The 19326-nt window shown below is 34.4% G+C and overlaps 1 pseudogene across 1 annotated transcript in view; it reads left to right on the forward strand.

Annotated features, from left to right (window-relative positions):
- UBBP4 (ubiquitin B pseudogene 4) overlaps window positions 1–19326 on the forward strand; it is a 114402-nt pseudogene that overhangs the window by 62960 nt on the left and 32116 nt on the right. The gene's annotated exons all lie outside the window — the stretch shown is intronic.

Here is a 19326-nt window from a genome sequence, read left to right on the forward strand (position 1 = left end):
GCGGGCGGATCACGAGGTCAGGAGATGGAGACCATCCTAGCTAACACGGTGAAACCCCGTCTCTACTAAAAACACAAAAAATTCGCCCGGCCTGCTGGCAGGCGCCTGTAGTCCCAGCTACTTGGGAGGCTGAGGCAGGGGAATGGCGTGAACGCGGGAGGCAGAGCTTGCAGCGAGCCGAGATCAGATCGCACCACTGCACCCCAGCCTGCGGGACAGAGTGAGACTCCGTCTCAAAAAAAAAAAAAAAAAAAGGAATTCTATTTTTTAAATTGTTATTGTGGTTAAATATGTATAAAATAAAATTTCCTATTTTACCTTCTTCTCAATGGATAATACACGAGCATGCATAATACAGCAGCAATGTATAATACAAAAGCAATGTATAACAGGACAGATTGCATCCAAATGTAGAAGTATGTATATACATTTGAAAGTCAAATATATATATTTGATTTTACAAAATTAAAATATTTTATTTATTAAAGGATATGATCAAGAAAGTGAAAAAGTAAAGCTACAGATTGGGATAAAATATCTGTAAAACACATATCTTATGGAAACTAAATACCTAAGATATAAAGAACTCCTAAAACTCAACAAAATAACATATGAGCCAATTTATTAAATGACCTAAGGACTTGATAAACATCTATACAAAGAAGATATACAAATAAGCACATGCAAACATGTCCAATATTATTAGTGTTTAGGGAAATCTAAACCATAAGATACTACTTTATACCTACTAGGATAGCTATAATAAAATAAAAGAAAATAACGCGTGTTGGCAAGGATGTGGAGGAATTAGAACAATTGCACCTTGCTGGCAGAAATGTAAAATGGTACAGTCACTGTTGAAAAGAGTTTTATGGTCTCTCAGAAAGCTACACATAGAATTACCACATAACCCAAACAATTTTAGACTTTGTTATATACCCCCCAAAACTGGAAACAAAGTTTCACATACCTGTATGTCACTGCTTATTGTGGCATTATTCACAGAGCCAAAAGATGAAAACAATCCAGGTGTTCATCAACAAATGAATGAATGGACAAAAGGTGATGTATACATATAGTAGAATATTATTCAGCCAGAAAATGGAATGAAGTTCTGATGTATTGCCATAACAGGTATAACCTAGAAAACATTATACCAAATGAAGAAAGCCAGACATAAAAGGGCAAATATTTTCTGACACACTTGTATAAAATATCTAGAACAAGTAAAATTATAGAGAAAGAGATTAGAGGTTCTCAGGGGCTGAGGGAAGAGAGAATGGAAAGTTATTGTTTGTTATGAAGTTCTATTTGGGTGATGAACAAGTTATAAAAATAGGTAATGATTATGGTTTCACAACATTGTGAATGCAACTCATGCTTCTGAATTATGCATTGAGAAGAAGGTAAAATAGAAAATTTTATTTTATATGTATTTAACCACAATAACAATTTTAAAATAGAATTCTTAAAGAAATCCTAAATCTATGTAATGTTCACAATAATTGATGCTTAATGAACACATACATGAGTCTCTTGAAAGGCAGAATTAACATTCAATTAAACTTTCCTACTTCATAGCAGTGTAGTATCTTCTTTGAAATTATTTATATTGGCATTTATTACTAAATAAAAGCGTATATTACTTGTAACTGATAAGCATTATTATATGCTGGGGAAATAGAAGGTAAAACAGGATTGTATGTCTCAGGAAGCTTCAAAGGAAGAAAATAAATAGGGTGGAAAGAAGGACAGAGAGAGACGAGAGAATTGAGAGAATCATTTTCTTGAGAGACAAGAAAATATGTAATTCAATACAAAGATCAGATAGCAGAAGAAACAGCTACTTTATTATAGCAGAACAGATTGCATCCAAATGTAAAAGTATGTATATAAATTTGATATTCAGAGAAAATGACTACATGTCTAATAGAAAAGATAGAAATAGATTTTGAAGGGTATGAACAATCTTTGAAAGATTTGAAATAGAATGAAGATTAGTTGACCAGATATCTTGCCTATAATTGAAGTGATGAGGGATTATTTCAATTTTGGGATGATCATTTTGTAGTTGGAATAATGTGTCCTGATATTTTATGTAGACAGAAATCAGATAGCTTTTTCTTCAGATTAGCATAATGGAAAGAAAAAAAGGCATGGGCCTTTAGAATAATGTAAAAAATCTTATTGAACTGTGAGCCATGGAATATAAGCTGAAAAAAGAATCATACTAAGAAGAGGATTTTTGAAATTGGGGATAACCTATGGCTTAATAAATTCAGGCTTCTGATAAAATCAGAGTAGGAGTATTTGAACAAATAAGCTGTAAGGTGGAAAGTAAAGGAGTTAAGGAATTGAATATTTGCATGATTGATTTTCCAGCTAAAATAATTATAGGTATAAAAAAGATATGTCCCTGGAATAGGTATCTGAAATGATGGCGAGGAATAGTTATGAGAAACAAGAAGTTCAAGAACAGAGGTATGGTATTGGATGCATCATTCACTAGAAGTTTTCAACGAAGATTATAAAATAAATTAAGGTTGAGAAAAAGTCTGTGGGCCTGTTGCCAAAGTTTTAAATATGACAACAGGGGCCCCAATATTGAATTTCAAAGATGATAACCTCAGGTAAAGGAAAAAAATTGTTAAAATTGAAGTATAAGATCTTAAAGTGAGTATGATTTTTTTATTTAATTTTTCTTAGGGGAAGTAATTAAATAGTAATGTACAATTGCTTAAGTCTTTTGTACTCTATACCAATTATAACAGAATTCAGGTCATAGACTTTTTGTTTTTCTGTCTCTCCGTCATTGTCTCTCTTGCTCTCTGTCTCTTTCTCTATATATACACACATATATGGAAATCAATCTATCTATATATTCCACATATATATATATGAAATTCAATATATATTAGTCTGCTTTAGTTTCTCCTAACGCCGGAAAATACAATTGCAATATATATAAAATGCTAAATATGAGAATTATAGTCACCCTCCATCTTAAAGACATTTTCATGAGCTCATGAATTGCAACAAAGTTTAATAAGTAGTATTTTCTCCAAACATTTTACATACATTATCTCATTTAATTTTTAACAACATCTGAGATAAAAATTTTAAACCAGTTTTGGACTTGAGAAAAAGAAGACTTAAAATGCCTAAATAATTTGAACATGGTCACATGGCAAGTAGAAGTAATAGTTCAGAGTGAAACCCAAGTGTGCCCAGTTTTCCTGAACCAAAATCTATCTTCCATTTTGTTATTCTTCCTAATATGACTAGACAGATATTTCTTAATATAAAAAAGTTTCTTTTATATATAAAAAGTTATTTTAGCAACAATTATAAAACAAAACACATTAAACCACAATGAATTGTAGGTTTTCCTAATGAACACAATTTGTAGCAGTTGTACAACATATTAGGTTTCTTAATTTAGAGGACATGAAAACATTGTTAGAAGTACAAAAATTACAATTACAAGAACTTTGCTTTGAGAATAACAATCCCCTTTGTCTCTTTTGGTTTGTCTTTTCCTCTGTCACCCCTAGCCTGTTAGCATTGAATGAGAAAGCTAATAAATGTTTCTACATAATCTTACATTGCCTACAGAAAAAGTTTCATTATATCAGCATGGTTTTCATGCGATTTTAAACTGTATCTATGCATACCAAAACAACAGACAAATCTAGCTCATCCTATTTTATTAAATTACAACCATTTACCTCTTCTTTTTTTACTAAATTTGACCAATCTTCCAAACTCCAGCTAAAATTCTACCTTATATATGAAAACTTTCTCAATCCTATCAAGGAGATTAAACTAGTGCTTTCTTCGGGTCCATGATGTATACACTTCATTACTCAATTTTTCAGAATTTCGTTCATTCTTTTAGTCACTCACCCATGCCCAGATACAAGATCATTAGCTCCTCAAGATTAGAGAATGAGAGTTTTTATACTTAGCCTCCAGCATATAGTACTTGGTAGCTGCATAAAATGTCTTCACTGGGACACAACTTTTGTCTAAAGACAAAAAGTGATTAGATTAACAAAATCAGGGGTGATTTTATTCATTTCACAAAATGCCTACAAGGTAATTAAGATATGCATAATTAGTGGATAGAGAATAAAATGTCTCTGAACTGCAAGGAAGAAGTGGGGAAACATGGAGGTTCTTGACACACCTTCATAAACAGTCACATATCTGGGAGATCTGGAAGCCACTGTTTCGAAGGCAGGTCAGTCTTTTGAATAGTGTCCAATCTGTATTTAAAAATGTGTTCATTAGAAACCTCTGGACTGAATGGTGAAAGTGAGGCAAGGCCTCATCTTGCTGGAAAATGGGATAAGTGAAGGCTTTCTGTAGCTACAGAAAAAAAATTCCATGAGTGTGTCCAAAAAAACAAGTACCCGTGATAGTACCTTCTACTACAAGGATTTAATTAAAACCTGTGAGCTTCATGTGACACAAAAGACATTTAGTGAATCCCTTACAAGTGGAATTGTGAAATGTTGGTTTTCAGTGCTCCATGTGTGAGGGTGATAATGTTATTTTTCTAGTCAAAGGTGATAATGATTCATTTTTCCTACTTAAATAAAACAGCTTCGTCACTGACAGTCAACTCCACTTCCCTGGGACCCTGAAATCTGCTGCAAAACTTGTATCATTTTACTTCACTGTCTCCACTGGGGCTTGAAGCATTTTAAGGCAGGTTTTATTCTCTATTTATGGAAAATGCACTACATAATAGGCTGAAGCTTGCTTAATTTCCATTTCCTGGGACTTCTCTAAAGAAGAAAAAAAATTCGCCTCACTGCTTCCTCTGCATATGGGGCTACTCTGCACACTGTCTTAAGATACACTCTTTCTGCTTCATCTCACTATACAATGGGAAATGCTTTGACTACCTGATAGGTGTTGCTGTCTGGTACACTTAATTACTTTTGTACTGCAGTCATTACAACCAAGTTTACAAGATTTTGACATATGAAATTAAGTGCTATAAGGGTACCTACAAATTGATGGGTATTACATGTTTACCTATTAATATGATACTAATACAATTTTTAAAATATTAAGAAATGGTTTATGAAATTTAGTAATGCTACCAAAGTTAAAGGATGTCGTTAATTACATGTAACTTTGAATTCTAAATTGATAGTTAAGCACAGTTACATCTTTCCACCCATCTGAGCTCTTAAATATGGTAATAACTTATTGATGTGCTAAACATAGAACTGTATTACCTACTCATGATGCCATGATTTAAATTTTGAGTCTAGGTATTATTATTTTAGGTATTTTATTTATACCTTGTCTTGATTCAAGTGCACTTATCCTAATTGAATTTGATTTTGTCTCTTTGTAAATAATTTCAGGCAACCATTTGAATTCTGTTTCTCTTGTAATGGCCTACATAGAGATACCTCAAATGAATAAATGTGCCCTCCTCTATCAGGAAGAGAGTGTTAACAATTCTGAAAAGCACTACTAATAATATCAGGTGATAATTGAATCAAAGGAAACTGCTGTTCTCTTCACCGAGATGTAAGACAATTGCATTAGGCAATCTTTGAAAATTTTAATTAGTATGTGCGATATTCTGTGTTTAGAACCTCTGGATCTTTACTGGCCTCTTTGAAACAAATTGATTGTTAAAGTCCGATTCTTAAAGAGGAAATTGCCAGATCACACAGTAGATTTCACAATTGACATGACTACCTTCTTAGCATTCTTGGTTGAAGAGACAAATATAGCTGGTAGATACAAAATTAACTATGTATTTATTACTTTAAGTCCTTGCTTTATTGCTTCTCAGCCTTTTGGCTAAGATCATGCGAAGTCCTTGCTTTATAATATATACAATGAAAGTTAAGTGAGTAATCTCTGAGTTAGTTTGTGATTTGTGTGTATATTAATGTTTCCGTGCCTGGGAACTGTTAATATGATAACGAATGTTTTACATTAAATTTTATTTTAATTTGAGGTCCAGAAAGACTTCATAATAAACTAAAACAAATACCTTTTGCTTAATCTTTAAATTTACCATTTGTCCATGCTTCCTTCCCCATTTTTTTTTGTTTTTGTTTTTGTTTTTTTTGCTTTGGCCCGGATAAAAAGCCTCAAATATGTGAGAATAAACCCAAATTGATTTCTATAATGCTTTCAATAAAAAGGCAGTTTATCTGGTTTCAGCAAGTACATGCAGCAGCAGCCAGTGAATTCTGGCCCTGGGTTGGACTAGCATTGGGTAGCCATATATCAGAACCTGTATAAATTACCAGAGTTTGTAAAGATTGCTTTAATAGCCAGGCACGGTGGCTCACACCTGTAATCCCAGCACTTTGGGAGGCCAAGGCGGGCGGATCACGAGGACAGGCGATGGAGACCATTCTGTCTAACACGGTAAAACCCTGTCTCTACTAAAAATACAAAAAAATAGCTAGGTGTGGTGGTGGGTGCCTGTAGTCTGAGCTACTTGGGAGGCTGAGGCAGGAGAATGGCGTGAACCTGGGAGGTGGAGCTTGCAGTGAGCCGAGATTGTGCCATTGAACTCCAGCCTGGGCGACAAGAGTGAGACTCCTTCACAAAAAAAAACAAAAAAACAAAAAAACCCCACAGTGCTTTAATATAAAATGCCCAATGAATGAATATGAGAATGTGCTAACCTGAGTTAGGTCTCCTATCCTATCTAGAAAAACAAAATATGTTTAAAGATTGAATGGTAACAAAATAACTCCTAACCATTGATACTCATTTCCTAACACATTTATTTATTCAGCATGCATTTATCAATTTTGTTCCTATATACAAAAATAGAGAAACAATTGTAAACAAAACACAACCAATTCCTTCATGGTATGGATCAAATATTTAGACTAATGAAGCCTAGGCAAATATTTTGATGTATTACTGCAGTTTATTTTAAAATATAGTAATTTATTTTCACACAGATCTCAATATCTGAACTTACTTTACTTCATCCAATATTGCCCAGCTCAGACTTTGTTTTTTTTTTTCTGAAACCCAGAAAACTTTTTTAAACTGTGTATTAGACATTTACAATTACATGAGCCACAAGAACAAGAGATACAAGCTTCCTAAACTCAAGTCATTGTCTTACCAAGAAAACTTACTCCTTCTTTGGCATTCTAAGTTATGCTAAATGACAACACACACCACCAGAAGCTAAGATGTCACCATTGATTCCTTCTAATTACCATAAGCCTAACACAGAATCAATCACCAGGTTCTACTAATATAGCATCTAATATTGTCAGAAAAAAGCAGACAAAATATGTCTGCCTAAATGAAGATTAGATGGATAACGAATAGAGATGTAGAGATACAGAGAAAATCAACAGCAGATTTAAGAAACAAATATCTCATGTAGTATTATAGAAAGAAACAAGTGTTATGGAAAAATTTAAAAATACAATTGAATAGTCTATTTTATGCAATTAGAGAAACATAAAAATTTCAATTTTATTATGTAATTATTTCACTTCATGCTTTTTGACTTTTAAAATTAAAATATTTATTTTGTGTATTGAACTTATAATTTTAAGTTGCTTTATTTATTCTTAATCTTTTGGTTCAAGATAAAAATGGAACAGAAGAGTAGATTTACATATTTTTTTAAATGTCCTACTTTCAATTTTTGAAGCCTCATAACTGATTTCTTCCTCAAGAGATGTGTTTGAAAATGACACAAAGCCACTGTCTTTATTCATGTTTCTTTCCGGCGTAATTGCTCTGAACAATACGTCTTTATCTTCCGTTTTTAGTTGTTAGGTATTGGTTCCTGCGAAGAAAATAGTCTTTCTTACTAAGATAACAAAGTGTTGTTTGTTATAAAGACTTCTTCAAATGAAAGGTCTCCTTTTCTACTGTTTTTGTTGAAAAGTCCCTTTAATAGAAAATCCATTTATCCCTCCCTAAACAGACGCTACTTTGGTTTTCTGAATGAACAACCCAAAAAGGTATGCAATATTTGTTTTCCCCTTAAACAAAGTATTTCTAGTGAGCATGTTATATTTATAGCTTGATCGACATTACTAAGCAATTGCTGAAATACATTTTTCTAAAGAAAAGCTTCTTTGTAGCTTTAGCGTAAAGTCTCTCAATATTTCAGTCTGTGAAGGAATAGATGGATAAATGAGCTTCTGTGAAATAGGTTGGCAGAAAAAGATATCTTACGTTTTTATGTTTTGTGCTAAGCCAATATGGCAATAGAGTATTATTTTGATATACAGGAAGATATAAATGCCTCAGTTTATTCAACTAAAATAACACTGTCTTGCAATCTTTACATAAAAGATGAAAATTATTGCTCGCTCCTCTCTCTCTCTATGTGTGTGTAAATATATGTATACCTATATGTACATATATGTACCTATATTTTTATCTATCTAATATCCACACATCACAAAACATGATGCAAGTTGATAACCACTGATTATGTAAAAATATGAGTGTATACAGAAAACTAAACAAAATAGCTTTCTAACTTATACAGAACATTTTCTTTTGCAATTCAAGTATTATTTTCTTTCAGCATAACTCAGCAGACTTAGGCATTTGCAGATTCCACTCAGAGTAATGGAAGAAAGTGCGGTGGAAGGAAACATCTATCAAGTGCCTGTTTTAAGCTATTCACCAAGATAAGGGCTTCCACAGTTTACATACACTTGGTAACAACCCTGACGGATGTTAGACAAAATCTCTATTTTTTTTTTACAGTTCAGATAATTTTTGTCCCAGTAAACAATTCATAAAAGTTGTCACTGAAAACAATAGATAAAAATACTCACAAATAAAAATACTCTCACCAATGAATCCTCACCCTAAACTCACATGAGCACTGCCAACATTTTTATAGATCTATTTAGAGACTCACCAACATATTTGGAAAACAAAGTGTTCTATAGATATTAGTCAATACAAGTAAAAGTAGTTACTCTGAGAAATAATAGGTACAGATTCAACTTCGTCCCACATAAAATATGGCCTCCTTTTTCATGCTCACTTTCACATCTGTGATTTATACGTACATCGCTCTCCCAGATTGCTAATGCCTGGGCTGCTTTTAGCCTCCAGTTTGCCTCTTTCCAAACTTACAGAGCAGTCTTTCTGTCATAGAAAGCTAACCATGCCACTCACCTGATTCAATGATTTCAATTTCTGTAAAGTAAAATTAAAATTTTTTATCTCAGTGTAAATGGTTATCCATGACTTTCCTTTTGCTTAACTGAGCTATCATTTTCTTCGTAGTTTCTTCCATATAACCAACATTTAAATCTTATTAAAACCCATCTATATTTTTTAGATTATTATCCTTTCTCACACTCTCCCCCTCTGTGATACTTTACCTAACTCTCTATAATCCTTCAAGATTCCAATACTTTATGAATTTCCCTTGACTCCTTAAAGTGGTATTTTCTTATTTCTCTGTAATCCTTGACTCAGTCATAGTTCTTTTCACTTGGTATTTTCGTTGTTTTGTTATACCTTGCGTATTGTACCTCTATTTTAGTTTGCATGTTTTGGATTATATCTGGCAAAGAGGACTATTGATATGTGTAATTAAATAGCTTCCTGGAAAAGAACTCTACTTTGGGTAATGAGTTAGATAAAGCAAAAATTCTTCATTGTCAGAAAAAATATAGTGATTTTCTGCTTCTGTTTCTTTCTCTGCCTCTCATATACATGCTCCATCCTTCTGTCCATATGCTAATCTCTGCAGATTGCATCTCTCAGGCTTAGTTTTCAGCAGACTTCAAGTTAAGTTTGACAAAAAGGAGGCATCAAAAGAAGATAAAGGGGAAGAAGAGTATAGAGGACTGGAGTATTTTGTCCTTGTTTTCCTCCTGTTGTCCCTTTTGGGTGTTATTAACTTCCACTGTTGCAAGTCTTTGTGATGAATTCTCTTTTCCTGCCAGGATCCTGGCTTTTAATCACACAAATGTATTGCATGGTTTAGTGATTGTTAGAAGAGTGTATTAGAAAATTGAGAGCAGAAAGACAACTCAACATTGTGAGGAGTATTTCACCAAAACTCAGTAAAATTTGTATAGCTTTACATGTTACACTTAAGCCTATGATACATTTTGATGATACAACTTTTTCTATCACTTTAGTTTTGATTTACCTTTGCTAATGTGTTTAAGTGTTTGTATAGATTTCTTAATGCTTGTTCTAGTGTTTCTATGCATGCACTTATCGTAGCCTATTGACATCAATGTATAGAAAACTTACTTTAATTTAGATCTATTTAATCTCCCATTTTCAAAATTCACAGTTTTCTTAAATATGTTCTCTGCATACATTGAGCCCCGTATCAATTGAGTTATAAATTCTGTTTCCACCATTAAATCTGATTAAGAAACTCATGAAATGAAGGATAGTCTATATGTTTACCCACATTGTTATACATTGTTTTATCCTTGTCTGAAGTTTCTACTCTTTTGTTACCACTTTATTTCCATTGGGAAAATTCTTTTTGCATGCCCTAAGGGTAGATCCTATGGTGGAAAAATTTCTTAGTTTTTCTTTGAGAATGGCTTTCTTTTTTTGACCTCTAAAGGATAGCTTCACCTGACAGAAGATTTACTTTGGCAATTGTCTTAATTTGAAGGTTAAAAATGTGTTCCACTATTTGCTTTTGGTCTCAATGGTTTTGGATGAGAAGTGGGCTGTCATTTGAAGTTACATTCCTCTAGAGATTATGTGTTGCTTCTCTCTGGTTTTCTTAAGGTTTTTTTTTCCTATAGTTTTTATAAGTATAATTTTTGTCTGTCTTGTTAAAGGTTTCATTTGTTTGTTTTTAATCATCTTTGGGGTTTGCTCAGCTTCTTAAGTATGTGGGTTCATGTCTTAAGTTTGGGTGTTTTCAGATATTATTTCTTCAAATGTTTGTCCTGCCCTTTCATTTTTCCCTCTCCTTCTGGGACCGCAATGATATGGATGCTAAATCTTTTGTTACTCTTTTACATATCATTTACACTCTGTGTATTTTTAAAGTCGATTTCTCTGTGTTGTTAAGATCGAGCAAACACTATTGATAAGTCTTCTAGTTCACTAATTCTGTTCTCTGCCATCATCTCCATTCTACGATCAAACTCATCTAGCAAGGTTTTTATTTCAATTATTTCATGTTTCTGTTCTATGATACCTGATAGAGTCATTTCATGGTTGTATATGTTAAATGATGTTCAGGATATTTAGGTGTACTTTGTGGAAGAAGTGGGTGAGGAGGTAATAGTAGAAACCAGAAAAATAAATCTACATCAACTTTTCCCAAAGTCAGAAGTCTAATTTTGACTTTTTAAAGTTTCAAAATTAGCTGCAAAAAGATCTTTTCTGCTAAAAATACTACATTATACATTTAACTACAGAAGTTAGAATTATTATTGCAAACAGTATACTTCTCTTCCCCTCTGCTTTATTTCTAAACATCAAATGATGGAAATAAAGTAGAAATATAGATATGGATATAACACCTTTACCTTAATCTTTTATAGTTGTGATATATATAGAACTCATGTGAAGTGTTATTCTTATGGCTCCACAGTTGATAGGCACCCAGAGTTTCCAGAAAAGTAAAATCACTTTATCAGTTTCATAAATAAAATTTCACCAAACTTATTTCTATATGGCTTCTCAAAACCTATGGCATGGATATTCATTCATATGATAACATAACAAGGGCTCTGAGGATACAGTTTTTGTGATTCTCTTTTATTAAACATCAAAAAGTGTAAAGTGGAAGGTTTATGGTGAAGACTCATGTAATGTAATTTACCATTACCATCTAACCTCTCTCTCTCTTTCTCTCTCTCTCTCTCAAACACACACACACATTTTCAAAAGACACTCTATAAAAGATTTAGGCTATCATGCAAGTTTTATATCAGCAAATTCACTAATGGCTTTTACCAGTGAATCCCTCAGGAGTGCATCTGCCTTTTAAATGTCAAAAAACAGCTCTTAAACTTCGACAAAGTAGAAATTTGGTGTGAAAAGTCTAAGCAAAAGTTGAAATAATATGTTTTAAAAAATATTGGCCCTAACAGTTCAACAACCTTACTCTTCTATGGTAAGTTAAACAGAGCTCGGTGTTGTAACCCACATTGACCATACAGCAGCTTACTACATATCAAGATGTATGACAGCATATTTGTCACATAGTCTCAAAAGAAATTTTAAAAAGACTATACTAAATTTTATCCTACCAACTTCCTTCCTTATTAACATGTTTTCCAAGCCAGATGTTATTTTTGCATATTCAGAGTCACATTGTATTGTAAAATATAAAAGTAGAGATTCTCTCAAGATAACCTATTTGTTATAATCCCAGTTATTTTATAAAATGAAAAAAAGAAAGAAAAAAAGAAGAGTCTTTAAATCTCTGTATCTCAATAGTGATTTTGAGTCAGTGTTGTGAGATATTAAACAAATGCAGGGTTTAACATTTGGCATATGTTTTCCAAAATATCTAACTCATTTCATTTAAAAACTAAATCTATAAGGTGTGTGCTATTATTTTCACCACTTTAAGCACAAAGATATAAATACACAACAATAAATTGTCTTTGGTCTTGTTGCTAGTAAGTGGAAAAGCTGGGAATTGAACCCAACTAAGCCTTCACTCCCACCATAACATTCATAATCTATTTTCCTTATCTTGATCCTATTGTTCTGAACCATTAAAAAATCACAGATTTTATCCTTGTGATGAGGAGTCACTGAGGAGTCACAGACTTTTATTTTTTATACAAAATTCAATTGCATTTTCTGCAACTATTTTGATTAAGAAGTTTTCAAATGGCCCAAATCCTTTTGACTAGAATTCATCTTCATTACATTAGTGTGATTTATGGCTGTAATTTCATGGGAGCTGACTCATTGTTGTATCCTAATGATACTCTTTGGCTGTGGGCATTTAAAAGTGCAATGACTTCTCCATTCTTACCTCACTTGATCTTTTCCCAAACTCCAGTGTATCATTAGAGAGGATCATGCAAATATTTTTAAGTGATTATTTTCAAATCAGTTTTTAGTAAACATTATTTTTACTTGAGATCAGTTTTCTCAGTATTTATTTATTTATTCATTCATTCATTCATTTTTTGAGATGGAGTCTCATTCTCTCTCCCAGGCTGGAGTGCACTGGCACAATCTCAGCTCTCTGCAACCTCCACCTCCGAGGCTCAAGCGATACTCCCACCTCATCCTCTTGAGTAGCTGGGACTACAGGCATGTTCCACCATGTCCAGCTATTAGTATTATTTAATGAGCTATTCAGTTGAACTGTTATTTATTCAGTAAATCACTTAATCAACAATTCATTATTGAATATCTACAATACCTTCAAAAAGACACCAGCCAATTATAGGCCATTAAATAATTTAGGAAAATAAAAAATTAAGTATGCTAGATTGTAATAAGAGCAATGATAAATATGGAAGAGCTCTTGCATAAGAACCTGTAGTCCTGACTGAATAGAGGATAGCAATAATTTTTCTATAGACATCTATGTGTTGACATCTCGCTCTCATCTCTCTCTTCTTTCTCTTTTTCCCCCTCCTTATTCCATTTTCATACTACTATAAAGCACTGCATGGGACTGGGTAATTCATAAAGGAAAGAGCTCTCATTAACTCACAGTTCAGCATGGCTGGGAGGCCTCAGGAAACTTACAATCATGGCAAAAGGCAAAGAGGAAGAAAGTCACCTTCTTAACAAGGCAGCAGGAAAGAGAAGTGCCAAGTGAAGCAGGGAAGAGCCCCTTATAAAACCATAAAATCTCATTAGAAATTACTCACTATCATGAGAACAGCATGAGTGAAACTGCCCCATGATTCAATCACCTCCAGCTGTTCTCTCCCTTGACATGTGGGGATTATGGGGATTACAATTCAAGATGAGATTTGGGTGGGGACATAAAGCCTAACCATATCATTTTGCCCCTAGACCCTCTCAAATCTCATGTCCGTTTCACATTTCAAAACCAATTATGCCTTCCTAACAGTCACCCAAAGTCTTAACTCATTCCAACACTAACCCAAAAGTCCACAGTCCAAAGTCTCACTTGAAACAAGGCAAGTCCCTTCTACCTATGAGCCTGTAAAATCAAAAGCAATTTAGTTACTTCCTAGTTATAATGAGGTTGTAGGCATTGGGCAAATACACTGTTCCCAGTGGGAGAAATTGGCCAAAACAAATGCAAGTCTGAAATCTAGAGAGTAGTCAAATCTTAAGCTCCAAAATGATCTTTGACTTCATGTCTCACATCCTGGTCTTCCCAATGCAAGAGGTGGGCTCAGATGGCCTAGGACAGCTCTGCCCCATGGCTTTGCAGGGTACAGCCCCACTTCTGGCTGCTTTCATGAGCTGGCATTGAGTGTCTGTGGCTTTTCCAGTACAGTTCAAGCTGTCAGTGGATTTACCATTCTGGAGTCTTGAGGATGGTGACCATCTTCTCACAACTCCACTAGGCATTACCTCAATGGGGAATCTGTGTGGGGGCCCCGAACCCAAATTTCCCTTTTGCAGTGTTCTAGCAGGTGTTCTCCATGTAGGCTCTACCCCTGCAACAAACGTCTGCCTGGACATCTAGATGTGTCTACATATAATCTGAAATCTAGGCAGTAGTTCCCATACCTCAATTTTTGACTCCTGTGCACCTGCAGGTCCATCACCATGTGTGAGCAGCCAAGGCTTGAAGCTTGCACCCTCTGAATCAATGGCCTGAGCTGTGCATTGGCCACTTTTAGCCATGGCTGGAATGCAGGGCACCATGTTCTGAGACTGCACGAAGCAGCAAGGCCCTGGGCCCAGCTCAGGAAACCGTTTTTTCCTCCAGGGTCTCTGGGCCTATGATGGGAGAGTCTGTCGCCAAGATCTCTGACATACCCTGGAGCAATTTTGCCCATTGTCTTGACAATTAACATTTAGTTCCTGGTTACTTATGCAAATTTCTGCAGCCAGCTTGAATTTCCCCTCAGAAAATGGGTTTTTCTTTTCTATCACTTGTTGGGCTACAGATTTTTTTGAACTTTTATGCTCTGTTTCCCTTTTAAACATAAGCTCCAATGCCAAACCATCTCTTGGTGAATGCATAAAACTGAATGCTTTTAAGAGCACCCAAATCACCTCTTGAACGCTTTTCTGTTCAGAAATTTCTTCTGCCAGGTACCCTAAATCATCTCTCTCAAGTTCAAATTTCCACACATCTCCAAAACCGGGGCAAAAATACCAGTTCCTTTGCTAAGGTGTAGAAAGAGTCCCTTTTATTTCAGTTCCCAACACATTCCTCATCTCCACCTGAGACCACCTTAGCCTGGACTTCATTGTCCATATTACTGTCAGCATTTTGGTCAAAGCCATACAACAAGTCTCTAGGAAGTTCCAAACTTTCCCATGTCTGCCTGTTTTCTCCTGAGCCCCCCAAACTGTTCCAACCTCTGCCTGTTGTCTAGTTCCAAAGTTGCTTCCATATTTTTGGGTATCTTTTTAGCATCACCCCACCCTCTGCAGTACCAATTTACTGTATTAGTCCATTTTCATACTTCTATAAAGAACTGCTTGAGACTAGGTTATTTGTAAAGAGATTTCATTGACTCACAGTTCAGTATGGGTGAGGAGGCCTCAGAAAACTTACAATCATGGCAGAAGGCAAAGATGAAGCAAGTAACCTTCTAACCAAGGCAACAGGAAGGAGAAATGCCAAGCAAAGGGGGTAAAAGCCCTTTATAAAACCATCAGATCTCATGAGAACTCAGTCATTATCCTGAGAACAGCATGGGGAGAACTGCCCCCATGATTCAGTTACCTCCACCTTGTCTCTCCTTTGACAGGTGGGGATTATGGGGGTTATAGGGATTATAATTCAAGATGAGATTTGGGTGGGGACACAAAGCCTGACCATATCACCCTTCTTTCCTGTCTTTCTGTTAAACACACAAAATCTAAAAATACATCTGCAAAAACATTTCAATTAGGACATGATATTGTGCCATTATAAATGCAAATTCAAGTATGGCTACTTTTGCATATCTCTACTGCTACTGTCAAAGTCCAGTCTAATAAGGTCTTGTCCTTTTATTCACGGAATAATGTTTTAACTGTTCAGCTTGGTCACATTGTTGGTCTCCACAGTCAATTCTTAACACTTATCATTATTTTATCTAGAGTAAAGCCAAAGTCTTTTTGATAAATTGTAAGGATCTATTTTACTTAGTTTTAATTGTCTTCCCAACGTAATTACTAATTACACTCTAACTTGCTCATCCTTATCCAGTTACACTTGTCTTCTTGATTTCTTTCTAACTTTCTAGGCATGACACTGTTCGATGATCTTTGCACTGATTCTTCCCTTTGTTTACATTCCTTGCTCTCCAGGTTTATACGGCTAATTATTTGAACTTTCTCAATTATTTGCTGATATGTTATCTTGTCAATAATCCCTACCATGATTGGAGTATTTAAAACTAATACCTTTTTAACCTCCATATTTCATATTTTTACTTGCTATGAATTATTTTCCTCAGGAATCAAATACACTATTCAAATACATATAATGTGATTATATATTATGTTTATGCATTATTCTGTTTCTATCACAAGTTTTATTTAGCTTTATTAGGGCAATACTTTTTGGCTATTTCATTCACTGAAATATATCTCAAGTTCCTAAAATAGTTCTGAGCGTAAAGTGGCTGCTTAGTGTATATTTTCTTAAAAACTACATGAATATTCATTACTTGTGGTAATGATGGGAGAGTAAAATGGTCATGTAAAATTTTCTTGGGATAAAAATTATAACATGTAGATAAAAATGCATGAATATTTCAAAAAGGATTCAAAAGAAGGAGTAAGTATACAAAACAAGCTGAAGTCAGAGGAGAGTCCTTCAACAGTAAGGGATAAGAATATTAGCATTTTGTTTCCTGAAGAGATCCTCCAATGTACTTTGCTACAGCAGAGAAAAAATGTTTTCAATATGAAAAATCACACTGATGCATTGCAGGCTTACCAGCCCAATATGGTAGAAAAGAAGTTCAAGATTAAATAATTTAAGATGGGATACTTTGGAAGTGAAAGAATCACAGAAAGTGTGTGATCTATAATTTCAGCACAAACTTATATTTCTGAATGGTCACTAAGATAAACTATACATATGCATTAGAGATATCCATTTAAAAGAACATAGAGTACAAAAGTATGTATTCTCATAAAATAAAGCTCTTCCAGGTGAGTTCCATGTACTTGTTTTCTTATTAATTGAATTAATTGATGGCATTCCTCAACCATATTCAACTTGGACAGCAAAAAGCTGAAGCTTAATGACTTGGAGATTCAAAGGAAAGAAAACAAATCTATGGAGCAGCTGTAAATTAGTAGAAATCCCCAGAAACAAGGAAATGCCAGGAAGATTTTGCCTCTAATTTTGAGTACAGTCATTTCTCTGTATCTGTGGGAGTTGTTTCCAGGACCCCTGTGGATACCAAAACCCATGGATGCTTAAGTCCCTAATATAAAATGGTGCAATATTTACATATAACCTCTACACATTCTCTTGCAGACTTTAACTAATCTGTAGTTCTCTTATAATACCTAATAAGATATAAATGCTGTGTAAATAGCTGATCTGCTGTATTGTTTAGGGAATAAGGACAAAAAAAGTCAGTATATATTCAATACAAATGCATTTTTTTGATGTTTTTGATATGTGGTTGGTTGAATCCATGATGCAAAACCCCACAGATAAGGAGGGTCAACTGGTAATCTCTGTCTCTTTTATGTTGAGAGACAAATTAAGCAGAGACCGTGGATACTGGGGGACAATTCTCCAGGTGGCCTTGAACTAACCCAGTTTCCCCCCCATTTTTACTTGTAGCTCTCATGAATAACTATAAAATACGTTGGGAATGTAATATCCTAAAATAAGGAGGGACTGGCTGGAAAGCCTGGACTCTGTTTCAACCTGTCCACCCTCCCTCTCCTGAAAACAGGATGTCCTTCCCCACTTTATCCGAAAAATTCTGACAACCCAGGGGTATAAAACCGAGCTCAGCCTGTTTACCAGGCTTCCTCAGCTGCAGTGCAGGTGGCAGACATGCAAATAAGATTCCATCCATTCCTGGCAGCTTTTCTGAGCCTTGGCGGACTGGTTCACATGAATTCTAGACTTGTGTTTTTTCTTCCCACCTATTTTCATGTAATAAAAACGTTTCATATTACTTATGGATGCATGGGTGTTCTGTCTTACTGGACTCAGACAAGTCGGTGACCAGTCCAAGTGAACCCGTTTCTCAGAGATCTCTAAGAGTCCAGCCTAAAAACAGCATCTTGAAGGCACAAAAATTGAGCAGACACTTTAGCTGATGCCTAATGCTTGGAAAATAAAGCTAGCATTTCAAGTCCAAACAAGGTTACTATTTAGCAGACAAAAATAAGATAGTAATTCTAAGAATCCCTATATCCTACAGTGTGTTATTTATAATTTTTCATGAATGTAAAGAAACAGGAAAGTGATAACTTACAATAAAGAAAAAGATACTGAATAAAAAATTCAAGGTAATGTCAAATTTTGGATTTAGCAAGAAGGACTTCACAGAAGCTTATTAAGCAATATTCAAAGAATGAGTGGATATGTCCAAAGTTTAAAGAAAAATGGCAGTAATGAGTGAACGGAGAACGGAATTCTGATAGGACAAGGAAAGGACAAAAGATGGAATTTTAGAGCTAAAATGTCCAATAAATTAAAAGAAAGACTCAATGAAGGACTGAAGATGACAGAAAAAATAACCAGTTACCATGAAAACAGATCAATCTAAGTAACAGAAAGACAAACAGTACATAAATATACTGACATACCTTGCCAAGAAGTTCATGTCTATAGTTGTAGTGCCAGAAAGAGAAACAGAAAGAGAAACAAAATATTTGAAGAAATAATAACTGAAAACTTGTCAAATTTTGTGGAAAATATTGACTTAGAGATCCAAGGAGCTTCAAACTAAACACAACAAAAATGTTAACCACATTATAGACAAAATGCTAAAAGTCAAAGAAAAAGAAAATCTTAAAATGAACCAGTGAGAAAGGAAACATCACATACAGGGAAGAATGTTATGATTAATTGCCCACTGTTCATCAGAAACAAAGAAGTTCAGAAACATTGAAGTGTCTTATAAAAATAATTAATTTTATAACCATTTTATTGTAAGATATGTTCCACTGTAGAACCATCTGGATACAATATTCTCTTAAAGTAATGGCAAAACAACTGTGTATTCTTCTATGAAAACATGATTT

This window comes from Homo sapiens, chromosome 17 (assembly GCF_000001405.40).
Source record: "Homo sapiens chromosome 17, GRCh38.p14 Primary Assembly".
NCBI lineage: Eukaryota > Metazoa > Chordata > Mammalia > Primates > Hominidae > Homo > Homo sapiens.